Below are 25,550 nucleotides of genomic sequence, written 5' to 3'. Positions count from 1 at the left end.
TAAATGTGGACAGGCTCTTCTAGCATGTGTTTAAACATCTTCTTCCAGATTGAAATCAATCTATTTATTTATCAGTAGCTTTAGATTTGGTCCTTCACCCAAGTATGGATCTACATGACGTACATTTACTATCATTAATCCATTGTTCATTCTGTTTTCTCTGGATGATATGGTTTGGTTTTGTCCCCACCAAAATCTCATCTTGAATTGTAGTTTCCATAAACCCCACGTGTTGTGGGAGGGAGCCGGTGGGAGGTGGGAGGTAATTGAATCATGGGGGCAGCAACCCCTATGCTGTTCTCCCAATAGTGAGTTCTCATGAGTTCTGATGGTTTTATAGGGGGCATTTCCTCCTTTGCTCAGAATTCATTCTCTCTTCTGCCGCTCTGTGAAGAGGTGCCTTCTGCCATGATTGTAAGTTTTCTGAAGACTCCCTAGCCATGTGGAACTGTGAATCAATTAAACCTCTTTTCTTTATAAATTACCAGTTTCGGGTATGTCTTTATTAGCAGTGTGAGAACTGACTGATACACTGGACTATACACCAGGTGACGTGAAAGGCTATTTGCTTTGATGAGGCATAAAGCAAGAAAGGACTGTGCAGTAGGTCCAGGCTGTGGTGGCTGTGGTGCAGCACTCCCAGCATTCTCTAAGGCGTTGAAAAGATCAGTGGTAGAAAAAGATATGTGGTAGAGTTAATGGCAAGCCCTGTTGGTAGGATCACAAGAGAAATTCATAAGCAAGGCCACGTTCTCTGCAGCAGACATTTACGTGTCTTTTAAAAACAGTTGTTGGGATGTACTTGTCCCTTGATAGAGTAATTCATTTTTAAATTATTTTTTCATTAGATACTCTATCAAATCTGTATATTTGCCATTCTTTCAAATACATGTACTTGATAAAGAGGCAATAATTATTTATTCTTTATTTGTTTGGCAACAGTGGGAAAAAAAAAGAAATTATAAAATAAGTGGACGTTGTAAAATGAGGCTAAGTCTTTTTGAATTGGGTCCTTAACTAATTACCTCAAAGTTCCTGTAGGAAATACAGGCCAAACAGATAATAAAGTACACAACTAACGGTGGCTTAAGTTTAGGCAAAGGAATGGAGCCTTGCCTCCAAACCCATACACTACTCAGCTAAGTCAAGACATCCCTTTCCCTAGGCTAGAAGTAATCCTAGAGTTGCAACAAAAGCACTATCACTTAACTTATCTCTCTTTTCTAGCCTAGTCCCATAAACATTTCCCAACAAGCAAGAGCAATAATTTTCTTACAACAATAGGAAAGAGTAGGTTTTCATGGTCCTTTCCAAGCCTTCTCATTATGAGGAAATATAAGAAGCTTGACATTCCTTACCTTTCTAACCTCATAGAAAGACAAGTGCCCTAATGGCCAAATAGATTTGAATTCTATTTCTCTTCACACAGGTCTTCCTACACTTATCTCTTACTCAGTCTGAATTACAATATATTGTTCTATTCATTGATTCTGTTTCATACAAACAGTAGGTAAAGAGAAAAAATTATAGAAAGGATAGAGGCATACAACAAGCTATGAATTCTCCTGCAGGCCAACATTATTCTTCCTTTAATATACACTGACATATGCTTTAACTAAACATTCACTAAGCTGTTTTTCTCTTCAGCATACCCCACATGCAGTTGAATATGATTTTGTCACATTTCTAAGATCCAATATTTTGTCTAATAGTTAGGGTCCTTTTGGGTGCAAATAATAAAATACTCAACTTGGTGGCTTAAAAAATGATGGTGCAACGCAATTATTGATTTTTTTAGTCTTTTCCTAGATCCAAATTTAAGAATTCTGATTATCATTCATTATAGCAACTACTATCTGTGTAAACCTATAATTCCATTCGAGATCACAGATTGTTGATCCATACCGATGTTAAAATTCTGCTGATATATCTTTGCATAACGTCAGTTAAAATAGCAATTTAGGCAGTATGGGTACCTTTACAGAATCAAAGGACAGGACACTTTTGTGAGATTTTTAAAAATAATTTTATTATTTTTGCCAGAGATGCTCAAATTAAAATATGGGTATTAATCAGACTGTGTTAAAGGTTTTTATATGAACAGAATGTCCTAGATATTTATCAACATTCAGCTACATCTAGGAAAAACAAAATGTATGCTTTTCTAGTTTTTGGTTTAGTGGTGTTAAATTTTCTGCTTTATAAAAAATAATTGAGAGCATAATTGTTCCTCATATATTTCTCTGTCATAAAGCAAGAAAATTTTTATCTGCTTATAAAAAGTTTATCACAATTATGTTTAAGAGGAATTTAATCTGATATAGTACCAGATAAATGTAGATATGTTAATATGATTTGTAAATATGACTTTTGCTCTAACAAAAAGAACAAAAAGGGAATCAATTCAGGGATAATTTAAGAAATGAAATGATTAAAATATAAAAAATGGTTGGAAAATTGAACTATAATCATACTGGAGCTTAAAAAGAAAGCAATTTTCACAAGTCAATGAAAACTTTCTTTGTCACTTTCAAATTAAGTCAAAATTTCTGTTTTCATGTGTTATGCAACCTCAAAAGCATTCTTTCTTACTTATGAGCCATAAGTAATAGTAGACTGCTGCACACTCCATTATATCTGCTACTTTAATGGGCTGATTTATTATTTCATTTGGTTTTAATTTTAATAACCATTTTACTTGACCATATATAATTTAGTCTGAAAGTAGCATTTATCAAACAAGCTGAACATCAAAAATGTATTTCAATACTATTTCAATAATTAAAACAATATACTACAAAAGAAAATTTGAATTCTCAAATGGTAGGAATAGAAAAAAGTTAAATAATACAATGCAATATTTATTATAGTATTTTTTAATTAATGAGAAATTTGAGCTTCACAAAATAATTGTATATATGTTTAACCATTCTGTATATTATCCATAAGTCAAGTTGGAATTTGGTGCAGAAATAATGTTTCTTAATATTATTAACAGAATTAACTCAAAATACTGTGAAAGCAATAGGTTGAAAACTTTAAAGCAAGAACAAAAATCTCAAAAATTGTCTTATCAATGGCAAGACTATTATCAAGTTTCACTTATTAATTCTATTAAAGTTGGTATTTTAAAATGCTTTTAGTATTTTAAATATCGGAATGTCTACAACAGGATTTCTCAACTTCTGTACTATTACAGTTTGGAGCCAAATTTGAGAATTCTGATTATTACTTATTACAGCAACTACTGTAAAGGAGGAAGGGTTGTCCTGTGCATTGTAAGATGCTTAGTAGCATCCCTGGCATCTATTCCTGAAGTATGCACCTGAATTGTGACAATTTAAAGTGTCTCTAGATGTTGTCAAATGTCCCTTAGCATGTGTATGTGTTGGAGGGGAAAGCGGTTGCCCTGGTTTGAGAATCACTGATCTAAGTTTATTAAATTATAAACTATTAAACATATGCAATTGGTTTTATGATTTTCGTAAGTCATATTTCCAAATCTTCAGCAAATTTTAAGACATACTCAATATTTGTGAAAACATCTACCTTTATAATTGAATAGAGTTTGCTATATTTTATGAGGGAAATAGTAGATGTTAATGAGTATTATATGTGCTAAAGATCAAGTTTCAGGACAGAAAAATAGCAGAGACAATAAAAACGTTGGCTCTAAGACAATGGTAATATTCCCTCAAACATAATGGAAAGAAAAAAATTATGAATAGCATCTATACAACTGTTTTTTTTCATAAATACTTTTATAATTTATTTTTGGAGGTGCTGACAAAGATTGAAACAAACACAATTATAAAATCTATTGTTTTTATATCAACATGGCTAAAAGAGATATATTATGAATTACAAATAATAGATATTGACACTAAAACACCACTTTCTGAGGCACATACACATTTTCTGCTAAAGAGATTATATGAAAATGAAAAAATGGCATACTGTGCCTTAAAACATGGCTAAGCAACCAAAATTATAATTCATCACTTCAAATTAAAATTTTAAATTTTTTTTGGAGAGTGTTTCCCTGCTTAGTCACCAACCTGCTTGAGAAAAACATATGGCAGAATCTTTAAAAAAAGGTCAACACAGTGGGTGAAGAGTATAATTTTCAAAACAACAGATATGTATTATTCCTGATACCACCTGGTGTACACTGAAATTTTGCTTTCTAAAAACATTTTTCTCTTCAAAAAAGGGAAGTATCATGAATATAATTTTGATACTTATAATTTTCTTATCAGTATAATTCAAATATAGACTACTATACTTGTCAATTATTTACTTTTCACTTGCCTTTCTTACTTCTGAACACATGGAAAAGTCTCAATAAACATTCACGAATCCACATTCTCTGCCTTCTCCTCTACCCAACATATAGTTACCAACACCCATATCTAGTGTTTATTTTTACCTCTATTTAATGCTTTAGGATTCTAAATAGAAATATTAATTAATTAATTAATTTTTTACTTCTCTTCCTTCTCAATTATTTGTCTACATTTTGGGATAGTTCTGTCATTGATGCCAGGACACTGGTCCATGTGTCGATGACTTTGATGGCTGTAGTGGATATTTGTATTGCTCTGTACAGGTTCCCTCATTGGGGTTGGTACATTTACCATTTACCTCCTTCAAAGAGCTGTTGCTAATGGCTTACAGCTGTGGCCCTCACAGGTAATTGGTTTTCTTCAAAGTGAAGTTTTCTTTCAGGGGAGTGGCCCATAGCTACTGACAGGTTCATGTGGGAAAACAAAAGACCACCCCTTGACTCAATTTGGACTATCTCTGTCTCTTAAGGGATACCTCCTTGTACTGGCTGAGTCCTTAGATGCAACCACACTGCAGCATGAGCTCCTTCCTCTGCTCAATTCCACCTTACAGTGCATCACACAGGAGAATTTCCACATAAATCTCCCATATATTTCTCCCTCCAGGATAGATGGGGTAGCAAAACAGGTTTCTGACTTAATCATAAGAGAAGCAAAGATTTAAAGAAGAATGAAGCCTTATCCCAGTAGGATTCCTATTCCAATCTCAGGGCTCTATTAGGGAAAAACGTAGGCCCCTGATACTTAAAATATCTGGGTAAATGTGGGAAATAAGTTCTCATTTCTTCTAAATTGAGGCTTTTCAACCTTGGCACTATTGACATTTGGGACTGAATAGTTCTTAGTTGTGGAGGCTAAAACCTGTGCACTGTAAGATTGTTAGCAACATCTCAGGTCTCCAAACCCCTCTCCCCCAAGCTGTGAAAATTAAAAATGTCTCCAGCCATAACCAAGTGTGCTCACCCTCAGAAAGCAGAAAATCACTCTTGGTTGAGAACCACTGTTCTATATTATTTGAACTCCAAATATTCCCCTCTTGCCCTTATCAAATGTATCAAATGATACACCTCTCTTCCTGAAAACCCAGCAGAAACCCCAAGAGAGGCAAATGACTTACAATAAAAACATTGCTTGCCCTCAGGATCTATACCAGTTTCCTCTTCTGGCAATCAGATCACTGTATCTTGACAGAGGACATGTTGAACCTGTAGAAAGAAAGAAAAGATCATATGCAAAGAACCTGAAGTACCTGGTCAATCCGTACTAGCAGGAGCCAAAAGAGGTTTGATGAATTATTTGCACAGGATGTTGTATCGGGGGTGGAGAATATAAAGTAAGATATATGAGAGGTAAATATTATGAAGATTCAGGGACCTGGCATATCAGTAAAATTTTTCAGCATCAAGTGGACTGATATATAAATGGGCATGCCCTCCCACACTAGATAGGAAGTGCAAAGGCCTTTTCAGGTTTAAGGAACACCATATTTCACACTTGGGACTTTCGGGGTGACATATAGAAGGCTACATCTTTGCATATGGTCCAAAGAAGAATAAGGTTGGCAATTTGCCCAAGCTCCATTGCTCTGTGCTTTGGACTATCTGGTCCAGCAAATGTATGGTACCAAAGATATCTTTGGATTTAATACTGAGTTAATATAAATCCCCAATAAGAGAACCACAATGTAAAAGTTTAGGGTATTAGAGCAAAGTCATGCAAACTAACGCAGAAAACGATACACATTAGAAAAGTCACCCATGGCATGTTACAGAGATGGTGTTTCTAATCACTGTAAACCAAGTGACCATTCAGCCAACACTGAGTTCTCTATGATCTATCAAATTATAAAACAGAACAATCTAAAAGCAATCCATGGTAACACAGAAGTGGTATATCCAGGACCAGGGATGAGGAGAGTCAAAAGATACAATATGAGCCAAAAGCAGACTGGAGTCACGCTATAGTCCAAGTAAGGTGAGGCCTTCAAGAGACCAGGCCGGAAAAGTTCCCCTAATGGAGAGCTTCAGATGATGCACTTGGACATCCACTTTGTGCAGAATGAAATGTGGCATACAGCAAGAATATATCTGGGCTCATGGACAGTGGCAGATGGCTTATATTACTGAACACAGGCATGAAAGAAGAAAAATTGGAAGATCAGTGACAATTTCTGGCTAAGAGGTATGTATATGGACCTATGGGAGTGACCATGCAATGCAAAGCTCTTTGTGTCATGTTTGGTACCACTAGGAAATATCTGCAATTAATCAAATAGAACTATTTAGCCCATTGATCTCAGTCACTGTTGTCATTTGTGACCCAGTGATGAGACTATGGGCACAAGAATAGAGAAGTTCTGTGGAAGACATGGGCACAACGTATAGGTTGCCACTTGTCTGATCTAGATACTCTTACTTATCCAGTAACAGAGACTAAACCTGACCCCTCAGTATGAAGCCATACGTCGAAGAAAGCAATCAGTTGTTTAGTGGCAAGTTAACTACATTTGACTCCTACTCTGGACGAACAGCAAATCACCTTGGATAAGACTGACATGTATTCCTAGAATAAGATTTTCTTTGTTGCCTACAGGGCCATTGTCAACATAATCACAATCTATTGACACAAGATCTCATACAACATTGAATCAGAACAAGAGATCGATTTTTTTCTTTTTCGTTGGTTGGTTGTTTTTTCTGAGTTGGAATCTCACATTGTCACTTGTGCTGGAGTGCAATGGCGCAATTTTGGCTCACTGAAACCTCCATCACCCGGGTTCAAGCCATTCTCCTGCCTCAGCCTCCTGAGTAGCTGGGATTACAGGCACCTGCCACCATGCCCAGCTAATCTTTTGTATTTTTAGTAGAGACGGGGTTTCACTATGTTGGCCAGGCAGGTCTTGAACTCTCGACCTCGTGATCCGCCCACCTCGGCCTCCCAAAGTGCTGGGATTTACAGACGTGAGCCACCGTGCCCAGCCAAGAGATCAGCTTTATGTTAAATTAGCAGTGGCAACTGGCCATGTATTGGGATCTGATTGTTTTATCATATTGGTTCACCCAGAAGGTGCCACCCTGATGTAATAGAGAGACAACTTTTTAAAGATGTAGTTGAAGTATGAGACAGAAAAGAATATTTTGATATTATAAAGTTCAGTATTCCAGAATATAATTTAAACCCTAAATTATTGACCATTGTATGTGTATGGCTCAGTGCTTGCAAGCAACACAATATATACATTTGGAAACCAAGGAATGGAAGTAAGAGTGAGTCCATTGGTTCATTTGGGTTATTTATACTTTTCTCCATTTCATTTTGGAATTTTTTTTTTTTTTGAGACGGGGTCTCGCTCTGTCACCCAGGCTGGAGTGCAGTGGCACAATGTCGGCTCACTGCAAGCTCTGCCCCCTGGGTTCACGCCATTCTTCTACCTCAGCCTCCCGAGTAGTAGGGATTACAGGCGCCCGCCACTCCGCCTGGCTAATTTGTTTGTATTTTTAGTAGAGCCGGGGTTTCAGCATGTTAGCCAGGATGGTCTCGATCTCCTGACCTCGCGATCTGCCCGTCTCGGCCTTCCAAAGTGCTGAGACTGCAGGCGTGAGCCACCGCGCCCGGCCCATTTTGGACTTTTTAAGCTGAGAGGGCTCAGTTGAAGCATTAAAAGATGAATGCTTCAACCAGGACAGACAGCAAGAGTTCTACAGAATTTTAAGTTACAGCTAGTGGCCTATCATTTTAGGCTCCTTATGCCGAAAGACCAGAAGACAAATAAAAATCTGCCTTACTTATAAGGGTAGTTTTTTTCCGATCATAAGAAAGAGGTAAAACTGCTATTATATAACATGATCAAAGAAGAATAGGTTTGGGGCTCAGGTGATCCACCAATGAATCCCTTGAAGATATTATGCCTGGTTTTAAAGAAAAATTGATAGTTTAGGAAACACAGTTTGAGAAAGGCATAGTATGTGGTGATTTGGAAACATCGGGGATGGAATTCTGGGAGATCTTCACCAAGAAAACTGCTTAAACAAGTAAAGGTGCCCTCAGAGTTTGAAGGTCCCTTAGAAAGAGAGCAAAGAAGGGTTAATGAACCTCTGTTATGCACCTGAGTTCAACTGTAGCCGTAGAGGCTGTGCTTCCATCCCACTAACTTGTCTTTTTTTAGTGCTCCAGAAAACAAGACTAACTAGAATTCTGGAAAAGCTCTTTACAGAGACAGCACACTTATAGAAGAGACACATGGACCTGAGTGAAACAGGTATTTACATACTGGATACATGATTTTCTTTTTCCTTTAGACGGAGTTTTGCTCTTGTCACCCAGGCTGGAGTGCAATGGTGCAATCTCTGCTCACTGCAACCTCCACCTCCTGGGCTTAAGCAATTCTCCTCACTCAGCCTCCCAAGTAGCTGGGATTACAGGTACCTGACACTACTTCCGGCTAATTTTACATATATATATATATATATGTAGAGGTGGGGTTTCACCGTGTTGGTCAGGCTGGTTTTGAACTCCTGACCTCAGGTGATCCACCTGCCTTGGTCTCCCAAAGTGCTGGGATTACAGGCATGAGCCACCGTGCTGGGCCAATACAATGATTTTTTATCTGGATTCCTTCTTTGAGTCGGACACACTCATGCTTCACACATTTGGAGATACAGGCTGCTAGTGTTCAAAGCTGCGTCATCACTAAGATTTGTCCTCTGCTATAGGGAACTGCCTTCTGCAAGTTGAAGCTCTCTCCTGGGGTGTGGTCCTCAGGATGAGTTCCTGTATTGATGACTTGCTAATAAGACTCACAAAACTTAGCATATAATTGTATTCATGGCTATAATTTATTATAGTAAAAGGATATAAAGCAAAATCAGCAAAGGGAAAAGCCTTATGGGGGAAAGTCCAGAGGAAATCAGGCCATGAGCTCTCAGTGGAGTCACTCCAGAACTGCTTATTTTCCCCAACAAAGAATTGTGACATGTGTAATATGTTGTCTAACAGGGAAGCGCATTAGGAAATAAGGGCCCAGGGTTTTTATTGGGGACTAATCACATAGGCACCCTCTTCTTGGCATGCACCAAAATTTCAGACTCCCAGAAGAAAAGCAAATAATCATACTAAATCATATTGTTTGCAGCAATAGTTCAGGCGTAGTGAATCACACTTATCCGTTAGGGAAGGCATAGCTATCCTCAAATCCAGCTTCCCAGATACCAGCCAAGGGCCAACCTTGGATGCAAAGAGCCAGCCCTCTTGCCTCAATTTGGGATATCCTGGAAAGGTCATCTCAGGACCAGATTGACTACAGTGCTTCACAGCTGAGCGTCTTGCTCTGCCATGCTCACTTTATGCCTTCCCTCCTTCCTCACAGTGATACTCAGGGCTCCTCCTAATACAATTCTGCACATGGCACCCCATCTCAGAGTCTATTTCCAGGCAACTTAGTCTAAGGTGATAGCCCTACTTATGACTGCTTAAGATAGTTTGAAGAGTAGATGATGAGGTATAATGGGGATATTAACTTCTAAAATGCCTGGAGGTTCTGATGTAGATTGAACAAGTACAAATGTGGTAAGAATCATGATTATGATTTTTAAGAATTACAATTTTAAGAATTATGATATAGGAAATTATACTTCTACCAGTGAAATAAGCTAACTGGAAGGTCCAATATGGATCACAAACCTTATGTTTGAAGTGTAAAATGGAAATAGCTATAACCTCAATAGATTATTGTAAAGAAAGAAAGAGGCATAATTATTTTAGACTTAGGAGTTATAATAGAAGTAGAGAGGCACATGGTAGATTGTTGGTAATACAAGCACAAACATACACGCACATACATTGACACACACACACAAATATCAATATCATGTTCTGTATACTCTTTGATGTCAAATGAATTAAATGAATTTGCAAAATAAAGTCCCAGGCAATCAAGAGCATTATAGTTGCTCTAAAATGTTAGTTGATCCTGATTCTAAGTGACTATGGCTACTTTGTGTGGAACACTAATAATTATAAATCTGTGTGTGAGTAAGAAAGATTTAATCTACCTTACTAGTTGGGACCAGTGAGAGGATTTAAGGTCTTAAGCTTCTGAGAAAGGGATAATCAAAGTAATCTTTTAAAATTTTTCTAATTTTGTAATCCTAAAACGTCTGCTACTGAATATAAATTGAGCATGTGCTTGCAAATCCTTCAGTTACACATCAGACAGCTCATTATTTAGTTGAATGTAATAAAACTGAGTTTTATTTGGCAAAATTAGCCTCATTGTTTTAGTTAAATTTGAAATCATACTCATTTGATAATAAATTGCTTCTAGCTACTTGCATGATTTTCTGCAGCCGTCTACACACCTTTACCATATCATTTGTAAGGCAATTTTATAACATTTGTTTCACTTCCCCATCTCTTTCACAGATGTGTGAGCCTCTTGAAGTAACTGTATCCCCAAGACTTATGATATGTACTGCAATATATGAAGGGCCATCCTCTGAACTCATGAAACAACTAACTGCATTGGAAATAGGTTTGACTTTCTGGTATTATGTTAGACAGTACCCAAATGTAAATTAAACACACTTCGTATGAGTTGGGGAAAATGGGGTTGCATTTTATTGCTCTAAAAAGCTCAGAAATGAGTTTTTATATCTTAACTTCCATAAACATTCCTCTTTTAGTTTTTCAGTCAGAATGCTGATGAATGACCTTTACCAACTCTGTATTTTCTACATTCATTGCTGTATTTTAAAGGAGAAGCCGGAATCTGTGTTTTCCAGGACCCCTAACCCACAGGGTTCCAGTTTAGATTCTTGTAGCCAGAGACAATCATGTACAATTTAGAAATTGAAAGAGAAACAAAAGTAATTATTCACCAGCAGAAGCTGTGAACAGACCAGTGGATATTATCAGAGCAGTTTTGGGGCTTCAGTAACGGTTTCTTGCTGTCCTCAGCAAAATTTTCCATTTCAGTCTGTTCAGGCAGCTGAATTCTTCCAGGACAGTGGTCCTGCACCCCTTGTACTCCTGTGTTCCCTCAGGGCCAGCAGAAGTCTCTATAACCTTCTCTATTTCAGGCCTTCCAATGGTCGAATAAGCCACCTATATTCAATCCCTTCCCATCTAAAATATCTAGTGCGGTTTCTGTTTTCTTGGCCAAATCTCATTGACGTAGGAGGCCATGAGAGATGGTGAACATGCATACATGCTGAGATGCTTCAAATTAGAGAGTATTACTTTTAAAAGTACAATCACTGGACTAAGCCTTAACTCAGTTTCTGAGAGGAGATAGAGGCAAAATTTGTAAAGCAAAAGGAGCAAACTATTTGAGGAAAATGCTTTTTATTTTATTTTATTTTATTATTTTATTTTATTTTATTTTATTTTATTTTATTTTATTTTATTTTATTTTATTTTATTTTATTTTATTTTATTTTATTTTTGAGACAGAGTCTTGCTCTGTCGCCCAGGCTGGAGTGCAATGGTGCGATCTTGGCTGACTGCAGCCTCTCCCTCCCGGGTTCCAGCAATTCTCCTGTCTCACCCTCTTGGGTAGCTGGGTTTACAGGTGCACGCCACTATGCCTGGCTAATTTTTGTATTTTTAGTAGAGACGGGGTTTTGCCATGTTGGCCAGGCTGGTCTCCAACTCCTGACCTCAGGTGATCCACCCATCTTGGCCTCCCAAAGTGCTGGATTACAGGCATGAGCCACTGCACCCAGCCAGAAAATGCTTTTTGTTGCTCTGATTTATTGTTAGTTGGTCAAAAGCACTGACTCTGACTTCTCCCTTTTCTCACGTTTTCTAGATGGCAATTACACTATGCATTTAAAATATTTATTATTTCTGTAAGACTACTGTAAAATGAGAAAAAAACTACCTGTTAAAAATTAATAAAACAATATTTAAATACATAGATATGTCTTACTTTTAAATAAGTAAAATATAAATACAAAGTGAAATTGAGATATATATGGTGCATTCTATGATTAAAATACAAAACTTACACTTAGAAGAAAGCCAAACACAAAAGATTCAAGAGAATTTATTTTTAAACTCTGGAGTATGACATCAGACACAAAAAGTTATCAAGTTATCATACACTAAATGTACATATATACACAAACACCAATTTAAGTCTATTGAAAACTGGCAATTTGTAATTCTTATTTCATCAATAACAACCAATGATTCAGAAAACTTTGAAATGACATATACTGATTTTTATTTTAAAATTTTATGTGCTTCTTGGCAGCAATTTTCTTTGAAGTAGTAACCATCTGCAAAATGAGTCATTTTATACATTTGTTTGAAATTTCTGAGTTACATTTTTTCTATAATTAAGTCTTATGTATAAAACCTAAATTGTAAGGTGTTGTGTTACTTCTAACCATATCTATATAATCAGTACTTTGACAGTGGTGAAATAATTTTCTCCAAGAAAGAAACATCTAATTTGAGCTGTTTTGATTATTATAATGGTAGAACTAGCTATGAATGGTTGTAAAAACTATTACAATTCAAATTGTGAGTGACTATTCTGAAACATTTAAAATATTTCTCTTCTCTCCCTGCAACCAACATCTCACAAAAAATTTTAAGTAGCACCATGCAGTTTTATATTTATTCATTTTTCAAAGCATCTAGTCAAGTTCAAGAGATAGAGAATGGTAATGGTTGTACAACAATACTAATGCACTTAATACTACAGAATTGTACACAATAATTATTAAGGTAGTAAAATTTAATTTATGTATATTTTGTTCCAATAAAAAATCTGGAAAAATGTTCTACTATTTATTGCTCACTGAAGTTCAGCTTCATCTTTCATTTCCTTTTCTTCAGCATTGATCACGTTATAATTGCTTTCAGGTAGGGTGGGTTGAGACACAAAAATAAATATGTTTTAAGTAGGAAAAACCCTAAAAATCATAGACAGCAACCATTAAAATACTTTATGGTCAATAAAAGTCAACTAATTCATAATAGGTCACTTTATATTAAAATTCAAATAATGAATGAACTGAATTTAGACACAAATGATAAGAAAATGAATTGATTTAATTATTTCAATGGAAAAAAGGGGATTATAAGAATTAGCATCTAATTATACGGGATTATTTCTCCCCAGAAGAGTAGAAGAGAAAAATAGGATAGCAGCTCAACTCAGTAGTAAATACCCTTTTGCTTTAGTTCCAGAGAAACTCTTTTCTTGGTTTAACAGTTTTGAGGTGTTCAAGCATGATTTGTCTGCCACCACTCTGTTTCCTAAAGGAAAGCATTCCTGTTCACTCATCTCCTCAATTTTCACAGAGGTTACAGTCAGTCATCCGACAGAGATAAGGGAAATCACATGAAGTCAACAGGCATACATATGTACAGAGGAACTCCATGGCCGCTGTCCATAGTTCCCTTGGCCCATGGCAGCCACCCATCACCCACTTAGCCCATTACTGCAATCAGTAAGCATTTGAAGAAGCCAAGAACATATACAAAAAAGTAAAGACATGTTTGTTAACTTCTTAAAAAGAGAAGTTGGTGGAAACAAGAGAGGGAGCTTTTCTTTCTTTTTCTGTTTGGAAACATTTAAATAACACTAAAAAATATTTATATCTTGAAGGTTTGATAGAATCACTTGTGTAAAATTTGAGTCTTGTTTTATTTTGGAGAGGAACAGTTTGACAGCTTTCTCAAATCCTACCATGGTAATTGGTTTGTTTACATTGTATGCTCTCCTGGTAATTTATATTTTCTGAGAATTTGAAGTCAATTTTCAAATTTATTTGAACAGAGTCGAGTAAAATATTGTCCTATAATTAGTTTCCTCAGTATGGCTATGTAAGTATTCTCTTGTTTGATTAGATTAGCTATTGGTTTATCTATTTAATTGGATTATTTCATAGTGCTAGCTATTAAATTTACTTATTAATGCTATATTTGTATATTCTAATCGTTAATATGCATTTATGCTTATCAATTACTTCCCTTTGCTTCCCATAGGCTTATTTTGCCCTGCCCCCCCAGTTCTTGAGATTGGCACATCATTTATTTATTTACATTATTTGTTTTTTAAGTTACATGAGTACTTGAGGATTGAAACCTTGAATTTTCAGATTTAGCTATAGCTCCAATTTTTTTTAGTCAACTCTATTAACAAAAACTTTGTATACAATGAGCGCTAGGCATTTAAAATAGGCCATTGAATGTATGATTTCAGAGTATGAGCTGTACAACTAACAACACAGACAATTTGAAGACTATTTTTTCACCACCAAAACATCTCATATCTTCTTGCAGTGTATCTGTCTCTTTGTCCCAAACCCCAGACAACCAATAATCTGTCTCCTGTCATTATAGTTTAATTTACTTTTACTAAACTTTTATATAAATAAAATAATCAAATCTGTATTCTTTTGCTTCCTTTCACTTTGGCCTAATGATGTGTAGGCTTCATCTATATTGTTGCATGCATCAATATGTTTTTAATGCTGAGTTATATTACATTATATGTTTATCCATTCACCTGTTGATGGATATTAGGTTGGTTTTCAATTTTGTCTCTTACAAATAATGCTGTCATGAACATTCTTGCACATGTCTTTTTATGGATATGTTCTTTTATTTGTCTTAAGTGAATGCCTAAAAGGGGAATGGCTGGGTATTTGGTAGCTGTATGTTTACTGCCAACTGTTTTCCTAAGCGTTTGTATCCTTTAACATTCCTGCCAGAAGTTTGTGAGAAACACTATTTGGTAAAATGTCCTCATCAAATTTGATATTCTAGATTTATAATTTCTTTTATTTTTACAGATATATAGTGTGGTCTCATTTATGGTTTTAACTTACATTTTTCTAATTACAACACAAAATATATTTTCATATGATTATTTGCCATTTGTATCTCTTTTATGGTGAAGTATATTTTCAAATCCTTTAAGCTTTCTTTATGTGGGTTGACTTTGATCTTATTATTGAGTTTTGAGAGTTCTGTATATATTTAAAAACAAAAATCCCTTGGAAAGTACATATAGTGCAACTATTTCTCCTATTTTGTATTGTATTTTAATTTTATTAATTGCATCTCTTGAACAACAAAAGTTTAAATTTTTATAAAACTTAGTTTTTTTCTTTTATGATGCATGATTTTTTGCATGCCATCTATGAAAAGTTCTAGAAATGCTATAATTTTAGTACTTGCATCAGGTCTGTTACCAATTTAAATTAATTTTTGTGTATAGTGTTAGGTAACAGACAACTTTTTTTTCCCATATAGTTATTCAGTTGAGCCTGCACAATTTCTCAAAAATTGCCATTGCCTTGGCACCTTTGTTGTAAATCAATTTACCATAAATAAAAAGTTTTATTTCTGGATTATCAATTCTGTTTCAATTGTCTACATGTTCATTCTTATGACAGTTTTAATTCTATGCTAGCTTTTCATTCATCTAAAAACTCTTCATTTGCCCTTCATGCTTGAATGATATTTTTGCTTTATATAGAATTCTCAGTTCATTTTTTCTTTAATCTATTTACAATTCTAGTTCTAGTGTCTTCTTTTCTCTGCGTATTCTGATGAGAAATCTATGGACATTTAAATTATTGCTCATCTGTATATTTTCTTTGGCTGCACCCAATAATTTCTCTTTATCTCTGTATTTGTTTGTTTGTTTGTTTGTTTTTTCCCCAGCCTTTTGACTATGTAATGTGCCTAGGATTTTTTCTTTGTATTTACTCTATGTGTAGCTTAGTTTCTTAATCCCATAAATGTATATATTTCAATTAATTTGAGAGGTCTTCAGCTATTCTATTTTTATGTTAATCTCCTCTTTCTCATTTCTTTCTTTCTGAGACTCTAATTGTCTGTATGTTGGACTCATCATACAATATTGTTTCATATGTTCCTGAAGTTCTAGGTTTCTTCCCAAGTTTGTTTCTTTCTTCTTCAGATTGCTTAATCTTTCTTCCAATTTATTGACTTATTGTCTTCTGCTTTTGTTTTGCTTTTACAGCCATCCAGTAATTTTTTAAGATAGTGTTTATTTATTTCATTTTACATCCTTCCAGTGATTTACTTTTTATTAAAATGGTGTTTCCTTTAACAATTTTAGAACTCTTTAGTTCTTTTTTAATTTTCTGTTTCTGTTATGGAGATTTCTTATTCTTTTCATCATAAATATGTGTTTTTCTAGCTAATTTTGCAACAGTTATAATAGCTGCTTTAAAATCTTTGTTTCATACTTCTATAGTCTGAATCATCTTACAGTAGTCGTTTGGAAAGTGTATGTTCCGTTGACAATGGATTACATTGCCTTAGTCTTTTCATGTAAAGAAATTTTAGATTGTATCTTGAACATACTTAATATTATGTTTGAAACACTAAATTCCGTTATGTATCTCCAGCTAATATTGATATTTTTATTATAGGAAATTAATTTGCTTATATTTCAAACTATGACATATCTATGTTGGGCTAAAGTTTATATCAGCTTTTAGTCTGTCTTGCTCAAGTGTTATTTGTGCATCAGCCTGACTTGGGCATAGTTTTAGACAAACTTTGAGTTTATTTCCTCTGTATTTCTCCTGTCTAGTTTACTATCTCACTTTTCTGTGGCTCTTGGAATTATTCCCTTGATTTCTTCAACCAAAACAAATGGAGGCTTTCTATGAAGGACTTAGAAACATAACCTCACCTCCACAACTGCAGTTTCTTTCAGGGTGTATCTGCAAAACAAAACAAAAACAGAAAACAAGAAAGTGCTGGTCATTTACTGAAAATTTCAACACCTTTAAAATCTGCCTGCATTTCTTCACTTTCTGCAGCTCTCGGGCAGTTGTTTCTTACAGACTTACCAGAGGTCTTATTATTTGTAAGGCAATTAGTTGGATAGGAACTTACTCTTTTATACAATAGTGAAAATCTTTTATACACAACATTGTGACTTTTTTTTCCTTAGGACTGTTTACTTAATATGTTGTAATTTCTGTTTTGATTTGATTTGATTTTGTCTCAGGGGAGAAAGTACAAAATATCAGACTGCTTATGAGAATCACAAGAATAAAAGACGTGACTTAGCATGCAATTTTATTAATGATTTTAAGACACCAGTGAAGCAAGAAGAAATCAATGTAGTTACTCAGGCCCTTTCTTACAATATCCATAGCCTAGATTAACATATGAAATCTTTATGTTATGAGTGAGTCTACACCACTTATAAAGTAGAGGTCATCTCAGTTATGAAACATTTCTATTGTATAATGTTTACATACTACACATCACATTTTCTAAGGAGTCAGGCACCAGGATTTCTTATCCCAGACTAATCTGGACAGACTTGATACATTCTGCTAAAAGCAATATATAAATACTCTCAAAAACACTAGTTTCCTTGTGTCTATTTCATTAGCATGCTGTTTTATAGGATTTAAATATCCTTTTGATAGTGAGACACAACACACTGACACTAGAATAGAATAAAAGCAGAACTGTGTGTTATTTTGGACTCTGAAATAGAGAAGGCTTCGAGGCAGGGCCACCAAAGGGTTTGCGCCAGAGACTTATAACAGAATCTGGAGCTGCTGGGGACAACTCACGTATGGCAAGTGGAGTGGAGTGAGCTAAGTTGCTCAGGCTCCCAGTGAATTGGCTAATTTGAATAATGTCTTGGGCTCTGGGGTATAGAGGCTGTCCCTAGTTGCCTGTCACCTGGCTCTGGGGTGATTAGGGGAGGAACATCGTGGCCCTCGCATGTGAGAGCCCAGTGAAAAAAGAGGTTGTGAGGTGGACTTAAGCAACTGGTCAAGAAGATAAACTAGCCTCTAGGTAGATCCTCAAAAGTGAGTCAAAATAGCTTTTTAAAAGAAGTATACGACATGCCTAGAAGACTTAACATGAGTCATCCTTATTTCCTGGGGATGTCCACTCACTAAAGAGAGAATTGCATACCTGCTGCACCATGATTTAGTGTCTACAAGGCATTAAAAAAATTGGTTGAGAGGAATTCCAAATTCCCCTATCCATTAGTCCAATGTCTCTATCCATTAGTGATCTTTGGAGGTTACCACCTCCCAGGGTATCTTGGGCCAATATGAAGCAGCTTGAAATCATTTTTAGCTGGAGAGGGTAGACTAGAGACCAGTCTCTATAACTACATTTCCTTCTGCCTATTCTTGGCATGGAGGGGACCCTGAACTTTTTAAATGCTTCCATCGAATGTAAAATTTAAAGAGTTGAAAGAAGGTGGAACAGTTCTTGTAAGTGCCATAGCCATTCAGTCATAGAGGCTGTGGACTGTCTCTGCCAGGGACCGGGGAAAAACAGCTTATGGTTAAAACTCACAAAACAATGCTAGTAGGAGCCCTGTGAGTCTGAGTGAGTAGGGTCCATCAACACTCAAGCCCTGACTGGGTCAACAGGATGAATCAGAAATTTGGCCAAATGAACCTGGATACTGGCTGAAAGTCTTACCTCATTGTTATCAGGTGTTTGCTTCTTCCTTCAGGAGTCTTCTTTTTTCCCCAACACTGAGACCATCAACTAAAGGTATTCAGTATAAGAATAGACAAACTAAACATTGCATGAGGATGAGGATAAGCATCAGGTGATTCTTTTTTTTTGAGATGGAGTCTCGCTCTGTCGCCCAGGCTGGAGTGCAGTGGCGCGATCTCGGCTCACTGCAAGCTCCATCTCCCAGGTTCATGCCATTCTCCTGCCTCAGCCTCCCGAGTAGCTGGGACTACAGGCGCCCGCCACCACACCTGGCTACTTTTTTGCATTTTTAGTAGAGAACAGGTTTCACTGTGTTAGCCAGGATGGTCTCGATCTCCTGACCTCATGAGGTGCCCACCTTGGCCTTCCAAAGTGCTGGGATTACAGGCATGAGTCACCATGCCCCGCCAGCATCAGGTGATTCTTACCAACACTTGGTGAAAAGCTGGTGTGGGAGAAGGAAAGTACTTGAGTAGCAACATTTCCTTTAAATGAAGACTAGTATCACAACCCCAATCTTCCTGCAGGTCTCCATTAGTCTAGGGTTCTCTAGGGAAACAAGACCAATAGTGTGTGTGCATATGTGTGTGTTTGTGTATGTGTGTATGAGAGAAACATAGATATTAATTTTAAACAATTGACTCATGCAACTATGAGAGCTGTAATGTCCAAAATCTGAAGGGCAGGCTGGCAACCTAGAGACCCAGGATAGAGTTGATGTTGCAATCTCAAGTCCAAAGACAATCTGGAGGCAGAATTCCTTCTTCTTCCTGGTAACTCAATCTTTTTCTCTTAAATCCTTCAACTGATTGGATGAGGTCCATTCACATTATGCAGGCTAATCTGTTTTACTCAAAGTCCACTGATTTAAATGTTAATCACATCTAAAAATACTTCACAGTAACACCTAGACTAGTGATTGACCAAACATCTAGGTGCCATACCCTAGCCAAGTTGACACATAAAATTAAGCATCATAAGGCCCCTCTCCAACCCAGTTGTTTGCTGGTCTTTGGCCTCCGCTCTCTGCCTCAAAGGAAAAATGTGAGTTAGCTGAGCCTAACTGATACGAAGCCAGAGTGTATTCACTCTTTGGCTTCCTTGGATGTTTCAAGCTAATCTTAGCATTGTCATTACTTGTGGAGGTTCTTTTTAAATCCAAATTATTCTTGCAACAGGTCTTCTGTTTTGGAGCCAAGGCCTAGGATCCTTAATGGCCTAGGATTCTGAAATTGGCCTTAGTTTTCCAAGGAGAGACTCACTTCTTCTAGAAATGTAGAATGCTAGAAAGGAGTTACAACAATAACATTTTGCTCTTTTTCTCTTGTTTCTTATACACATGAAAGACCACTGGATTCTGCCTATTATTTCTTTCACGTAGAATCACAGGCTTACCTCAAAGTGGTTGCTCTCCCAATTAGGCAAAGAGAACAGTCATCTGAAGGAAAGGCTGATATTTGTAATACTGATATTCATAGGATCAGCTAATGAATTGTCATATGTAATGGAGTTAATATTTACACAACACAAAGTAGGTGTATGAAAATTATAAAACTTATATTCAAAGTGAGGTTGCTACATAAAGTAGGAATAATGATGGTATGGTCTGAATGCTTTTTTCCCCCAAAATGTATATGTTGAGACTTAATCCCCAAAGAAGTTGTAGTAAGAGGTGAGGCTTTTGGGAGGTGATCCCCACATAAGGGCACAGCTGTTATGAATGGGATTCGTGCCCTTATAACAGAGGTTTCTGGGGACTTGTTGGGCCCTTCCACTATATGAGGATGCAGTCAAATGGAGGCATCTATGAAGAATGAGCCCTCAGCAGACACCAAATCTCCTGGTGCCTTTGTCTTGAATTTCCCAGTCTCCAGAACTGTGAACAATATATTCTATTGTATATAAATTACCCAGTCTAAGGTATTTCGTTATGACAGCTTGAATGGACTAAGTCAGTTATTATGTCCTATTCTGGCAGACTGAGAGGGCCTGAGGCAACATGTTTTCCTCTCAAATTCCTCCAGAGTTTTAGGTGGCAATGAAAGTCAAACATAGCCTCATGCCATACGTGGGGAAGGCAAATGGCACAATCTTAGCCAAAAATCGCCATGGTAGAAAGCAAAAAAGTCAATAAAGACACAGAGGACAGCTCCGGAATTCAAATATAGGCCAGAGGGTTCTTCCTCATGGATATGAATATTTCTACACACGAAGATGCCATGTGGGGAGTCCAGAGGAGATAAGGGATGAACAGTAGCCAGGATATCTCTATATTCTTCAGATAGTCTATAATTGCATGGAATACTTTTCTAGATAATTTGAACTACCAATTTTTTTTGGATGTTTGTCCAATGTGAGCTAAATCCGCTTAGAAAAATACTGACAGATACCATAGATTATTCTACTATTATAATTATTATTTTACCACGAAAGCTCAAATGATGTTTGGATTTTGATGTTTTTGAGCTCAGCGTGTGTGGATGTTGTTTGCTGATGGTGATGGTGATGATTTGTAAGCAAAGATTGTGAAATTAGTAGATCTTTCTAGTGTTGTATATCTAGGTTTTGAACTGGTAATCCTGTAACAGTTTCAGGTCATGGTGTGGCTCCAGGAAGGAAACGTCATGTGGAGAAAGTGAACCTTAATTTGCCCAAGATAGCCTAATGGCTTTCTTCCATATTAGAGAGATGTATGAGTGTGTCAGTGATATGCCTGAGTAGAATTTGTGTCTTTGAAGAACTTCACTGACCCATCTGGGAAATAATATTCATAAACATGAATTTTGTATGGTGGGAAATTTTGTCTCGATTTCCAGCAGTGACTTTGTTATAGACAGATTTTTATAGTATGGGTCATTTCCCCCTCTACGTGACTATTTTGTAGAATTTATTCAAGCATTTACAATATTAAATTCTCTTTCATATTTAAAAATAAAAAAACTATCTTGCTGCTGTGCATATACAGATTCTTTGACTCTGTAGACACAGAGCTAAATAAAATTCAACATGAATAGTCATGACCACGTTTACATGTATGAATATTTGTCAAAATCACAGGACACTAAGGCTAGAAACGGATAATTTGTAATTTAGACAAGGATCAACAAACTTTTCTGTAAAGTGTCAGACAGCAGTAATTATAGCAGGTTATATGAGTTACATATGTTCTTATCTATTCTATATTCTCTCCCCCTTTATAAATAGTTCTTTAAAAATGTAGTAGAAAATGGCCGGGCGTGGTGGCTCATTTCTGTAATCCCAGAACTTTGGGAGGCCAAGACAGGCAGATCACCTGAGGTTAGGAGTTCGAGACCTGTCTGATCAACATGGCGAAACCCCGTCTCTACTGAAAACACAAAAATTAGCCAGGCATGGTGGTGAGCACCTGTAGTCCCAGCTACTTGGGAAGCTGAGGCAGGAGAATCACTTGAACCTGGGTGGTGGAGGTTGCAGTGAGCCGAGAGCGTGTCAATGCACTCCAGCCTGGGTGACAGAGTGAGACTCCGTCTCACAAAATAATAATAATAATAATAGCGGAAAATGAAACAAACAAACCTACAAAAATAAAAAATAATTCTTAGCTAGAAGGCCATAAAAATGACCATAGTTTGCCCACCTTTGAATCCTCATTTTACATATAAAAAAAACCTGAGGTATACAAATAACTTTTTCTAGAAAACATGCCACTTTAGCGTGACTAGACTCTGATCCTGCTATAATTCCCAGTGCTCTGTGGTTACTCTGAGAACACATCCCACCTCATTCCTAAGAAAGAAGTCCTGTGAGAAGTGGTGTTCCTAACTGTCTTCACTAGGCAAAACCTTCTTTAAGCAGCAACTGAATCTTCCTTACCTATGTTTCTTTGTATCCCAGAACACCAGGCAACATTTGTAACATCTATAACAGCCTGAGATCAGAATTGCTTCTTTGTAGCCCTGACACAAGTCACTTTGCCTGTGAGACACATAGCAACTGTATGAACAATCATTACACATTATTCATTGGGGCCTACCTTTTGGCAGGGGCTAGGTGCAGCATCAGTACTGGAGAAAAATCTCAAAAACGGACAAAATTCTCTGGTGTTGCAAGGTTATGTTCCAGAGCATGGAAGTGAGTTTGTAACTAAAGCAATACACATAATAAGAAGTACATTATACTTTATATGAAAATATTTAAAAAATGCTACAGTGAAAAATTTAAAAAAGAAACAAAAAGGAGGTCATTGAGAATTCGTAGGCAGGCTTGTGTATTTATATCCCGGGCATTTTAAGTACCAACATTGGGTGTTTAATAAATTTTAGACGTTTCACATAACAACAACAACAAAAAAACTATGGCCGGGCGCTGTGGCTCACGCCTGTAATCCTAGCACTTTGGGAGGCCGAGGCAGGCGGATCACGAGGTCAAGAGTTCCAGACCAGCCTGCCCAACATGACAAAACCCCATCTCTACTAAAAATACAAAAAATTAACCAGGCATGGTGGTAGGCACTTGTAATCCCAACTACTTGGGAGGCTGAGGCAGAAGAATCACTTGAACCCAGAAGGCGGAGGTTTCAGTGAGTCAAGATTGCGCCACTGCACTCTAGCCTGGGCACCAAGAGCGAAATTCCGTCAAAAAAAAAAAAAAGAAATCTAGTTGAGTTATTATTTTATTTTTCTAACTGTCTGGCTTGATAAGCAGACACAAAACTGTTATAAGTATTTAATTAAATTTAGATGCAGGAATCTAGTTATGTATTAAACTTGGTTCAGTATTGTGTAATTTTCAAGGCAGTCTAATATAGTTTGTAGACTTGTGGACAGCATGCTTATCACAACTTAGCATTTTGCTCAATAACTAAAATATTTTGCACTCAAAAGTAAAAATAAATACCATGTGCATCTCCACATTTATTTTTTAATTGATATAAAACTAAGTAATTTTTGTTTGTTTCTTTTCTTAAACCAGGACTCAAACAAAAACAGGCCAAAGAAAATAAAAATAAAACATAGGGTTCTACTTGTATAAGGTGATACATTTTAAGTACTTGTCAATTTTAAGGACAGTATTAAAAAAATAGCATTTTGGCTTTTGAAAATATACCTACTATTTACTTACTTGCTTAATATTTGAGTATTCCTTTACTTTTAGAAATTATTTATATGAAAAGCTTGTTATTTTTACTATGACATGATCCTCCTTTCTAAAGTTCATAATTACTTCACTTTTAGAAGTAACTCCGGGGCCGAGCACAGTGGCTCATGCCTGTAATCCCAGCACTTTGAGAGGCCAAGGCAGGTAGATCATCTGAGGTCAGGAGTTCGAGACCAGCCTGGCAAACATGGTGAACCTCTGTCTCTACTAAAAACACAAAAATTAGCCAGCGTGGTGGCTCATGCCTGTAGTCAGCTACTTGGGACGCTGAGGCAGGAGAGTCGCTTGAACTCAGCAGGCGGAGGTTACAGCTAGCCAAGATCAAGCCACTGTACTCCAGCCTGGGCAACAGAGTGAGACTTGGTCAAAAACAAAAAAAGTCACTCAGGAATGGATAAACCAAACAAATATTGTATGCTCTCTCATTCATAAGTGGGAGCTAAGCTGTGAGGACGCAAAGGCACAAGAATGATACAATCGACTTTGAGAACTTGGAGGAAAGGGTTGGGGGTGAGGGATAAAAGACTGCACATTGTATACAGTGTACACTGCTGGGTGGTGGGTGCACCAAAATCTCAGAAATCACCACTAAAGAACTTATTCATGTAACCAAACAACACCTCTTCCCCAAAAACCTATTGAATTGTTTTTAAATAAATAAAGAAAAAATAAAATAAAATCACTTCACTTTTATCTATGTTAAATTAGTAATTCTGGGCCTTACTTACTTTAGTGTTTCTACATCTGCATAGAAAGTTTTGAGACTTTAGTTTTCCAACAGACACTTGGTCTTTGGTTTATTAATATAAGAACATGAGGTTCCTTATTAAGGTCAAATATTTATCTTCAAAACCAAAAGGAACTAATAAATTGAAAACTTTACTATTAAATATTTAATATGGAATTCCATTGATGTTATTTTGGTAGGATAAGTGGTAAATCTTAAGGGACTAAGCTCCACATCAGTTGTCTTCAAATAAATAAACTCCACATCAGTTGTCTTTTCATAGGTCATCTAATCCTTTTAATGAACAGAAAAATAAAATAAAATAAAATTGCTTACATTTCACATATCTGTTTTTCATAGTTTTTTTATTTATGGAAAGGAAAACTAATATTGAGGGAGGTTAAAGGATTGCCTCAAGTCACACAGATAGTGTGGACTGGTCTGGGTAACAAATATGCCCACATTTCCTGCTGGATTAAGAGCAATTTTAATTTTCACTTATGCAATATCTTCTGCCAATCTGAGGGGCATACTTTGACAATTCTTTTCCATCTACTCCTCATGCATCTTAACCTTGGACCTCTTCCAGCATGGTGACAGCAAGGACAAAGAGATGGACAGGAGATGAGCAATTAAGTGTCTTATCCTGGAAGTAACGTGCATTCTCTTCCTAGATCATCCTCACCTGGCCCTGCTCAACAGCAAGAACACTGGGAATTGAGTCTCCTATGTGAAGAAGGGAGAGGTGATGGGATTGAGAGCAGGCACTGATTTTATGCACATGGGTAGTATGAGGTAAAATCCAATTTGAAGCCAAGTCTGCTAAATCTAGAGCTTCCTAAGTTATAATGCCACCT

The 25,550-nt window shown here is 36.5% G+C and overlaps 1 long non-coding RNA gene across 2 annotated transcripts in view; it reads right to left on the bottom strand.

Annotated features, from left to right (window-relative positions):
* Positions 1-25,550, bottom strand: part of LOC105374686 (uncharacterized) — a 55,146-nt gene that overhangs the window by 11,018 nt on the left and 18,578 nt on the right. Inside the window, exons 2-3 of one of the 2 annotated variants that reach the window (XR_925850.2) lie at positions 17,035-17,065; positions 5,464-5,551 (exon numbers count right to left, since the gene is read on the bottom strand). This is a non-coding gene — a long non-coding RNA (uncharacterized LOC105374686). The remainder of the gene's footprint in view (positions 1-5,463; positions 5,552-17,034; positions 17,066-25,550) is intronic. The other variant, XR_925849.2, reaches the window with a different exon arrangement.

This window comes from Homo sapiens, chromosome 5 (assembly GCF_000001405.40).
Source record: "Homo sapiens chromosome 5, GRCh38.p14 Primary Assembly".
In the NCBI taxonomy this organism is placed as follows: Eukaryota; Metazoa; Chordata; class Mammalia; order Primates; family Hominidae; genus Homo; species Homo sapiens.
Note: the sequence above shows the minus strand (reverse complement) of the source record. Positions and strands in the feature narration are given on the sequence as shown.